This window comes from Homo sapiens, chromosome 18 (assembly GCF_000001405.40).
Source record: "Homo sapiens chromosome 18, GRCh38.p14 Primary Assembly".
In the NCBI taxonomy this organism is placed as follows: Eukaryota; Metazoa; Chordata; class Mammalia; order Primates; family Hominidae; genus Homo; species Homo sapiens.
The window spans coordinates 8,976,734-8,978,874 of record NC_000018.10 but is presented as its reverse complement, the minus strand read 5'-3'; the positions used below and the strand labels follow the sequence as shown (position 1 = coordinate 8,978,874).

Genomic DNA, 2,141 nt, shown 5'->3' with positions numbered 1-2,141 from the left:
TTCAAAAAAATTCCACATATAGTCTCCCATACAACTCTCCCACCGCCCATGGGGTTGGGCAGGTCAGGTACAATTATTGAGCTATTTTACAAATGATAGCCTGAGATGCAGGAGAGTTAAGTGTATTTCCTAAGGTAACAATGCGAGGAAGAGGCAGAACGGGGGCCAGAACTCAGTTCTGCAGAGGCCAGGCTCCAGGCCCTTCCCACTACACTGCTGCAGCTCCTCATGGCCCCTCGGCCATGCTCCTTGTGCAGTGGCATGCACCGTCAGGTGCTTAGTAAATGCTTTGCAAAGCAGGTGTTTCCTGAAGCTGAAGTAATGGTCCATGTGAACGGTATAAAAACAATCAAGCTAAGGAACAAAAATATGATCCAAGGCAATCAGAGAGGCTTAAGGGCATCATGTGAGATGTAAGGAATAAATAGATAGTAGATCAGGTGGAGAGCAGATCATTCTGATGGTGAAAGGACAGGGACGGGTTGAGTGAGGCAAAAAAGCCTTACACGGGAAGAGTGATTTTCACTTTCAAATAAATTATCTCCTTTATTCCTCAGACCAAACTTGTGAGTAGATGTTAGCAGAGTCTCTGTTTAATTTATAAAGATTTTGCATATCTTTATACATTTTTATAAAGAGTTTAGTACTTTTTTCTCCCTCCAACACCACTCAACTAATTAGAAAGGCCCGTATTCAAAGCAGCCCCTCTGACTCTAAAGGCTGAATACTTTCACTCTAGGGCAGGACATAGATTGTTTTGTCCCCCAAGAATGCTAAGTAAGCCTGGGTCCTCATGTTAGATCTGTGTTGTTCTTCTATAGCAAAAATGGCTATCTTCTTGGTTTCTCCTTTTTTACAGTAGGTTCTAGAGGGGCTGGAGGGACTTGGTAGTACACATTACAGATATGAGTTCAAATCTCTGCTCTGCCACTAACCAGCTGTGGCAGCCGTGAGAATTCAAGGAAGTTATTTCCTTTCTCTGTGCCTCAGTTTTGTCACCTGTAAAATGGGGATAATCATGTGTCCAACACACAGTATTATTTGCAAGCCAAAAGTAAAATTCTAAGTGCCCCCCAACCAAATGAATGGACCCCTCCTCTTGGCCAAAGGCTTTCTAAAGTAAACCTGAAACAGGCCATGATGAGAAGGGGGGTCAGACACTCCTCATTACACCTTCTTCCCTTTGGAATTCAGGCATAGCTGACCAACAGCATTAACATTAACAGAGACATTGAGACTGCCAAAACAGACTCTTTGTAGCAATAAGATACCAACATGACAGATAGTAGGCCCTGATAGAAATCAAAGTATTTTACCCCAAAATACATTTCTTTGACATATTTTGAAATGGCCTTGCAAAGCTGTCTCTGGGGAAAATCTACATTCAGTAGAGGATCTCTTTCCCTTTCTAAGTCTTTTTCCTGACCCAGGAGAGAATTCACTAAGAGTCCAGCACCTTTTTAAGGCTGACAATAAACATTTACAACCTACTCCCTCTGAAGCCTGCTACCTGGAGGCTTCATCTACATAACAAGAACCTTGGTTTCCACAACACTTCTCTTAACCCAGACCCTCCCTTCTGTTGATTACAGGTCTTTAGATAAACTCAACCAATTGCCAATAAGAAAATAAGGAATCTACCTAAGACCTGGATGCCCCCACCTTTGAGTTGTCCCACCTTTTTGGGTTGAACCAATGTACATCTTACATATATTGATTGATATCTTATACCTCCCTAAAATGTGTAAAACCAAGCAGTTGGCCACACCCGGCCACCTTGGGCACATGTTCTCAGGATCTCCTGAGGATCAAATGAGATGTATATAAAGTGCTCAGCACAGAGTTTAACATCTAGAAAACCAACAATGAATATCCACTGTTGTCATTGTGTTGTATAATAAAGAATGTGTCTAGTTTTTGTTTTAGGTTCCGGGAACATGGCGTCTGAATCCGAGTGATAAGAGTATCTGTTATTCATGGTGGGCCCTTGGACCACAGCAGAGTTTATGCTAACAAGGTGACTCAGGATGGGGCCAGTCTTGTGGAAAAGCCAGTCCTGTGATTAGAGAGTTGGGGCTTTGAGTCACTTAATACAGGCCCAACCTCCTGACCCCTGGAGAGGGATGCTAGAGATGGAGTTC

The 2,141-nt window shown here is 43.0% G+C and overlaps 1 annotated feature.

Moving 5' to 3' along the window:
- Positions 1,236–1,767: an enhancer, noted in NCBI's record as "NANOG hESC enhancer chr18:8977106-8977637 (GRCh37/hg19 assembly coordinates)". NCBI's record gives its function as "activates a minimal SCP1, AML or CMV promoter by ChIP-STARR-seq in primed H9 embryonic stem cells {active_cell/tissue: H9 hESC(primed)}" and the evidence as "EXISTENCE:reporter gene assay evidence [ECO:0000049][PMID:30033119]".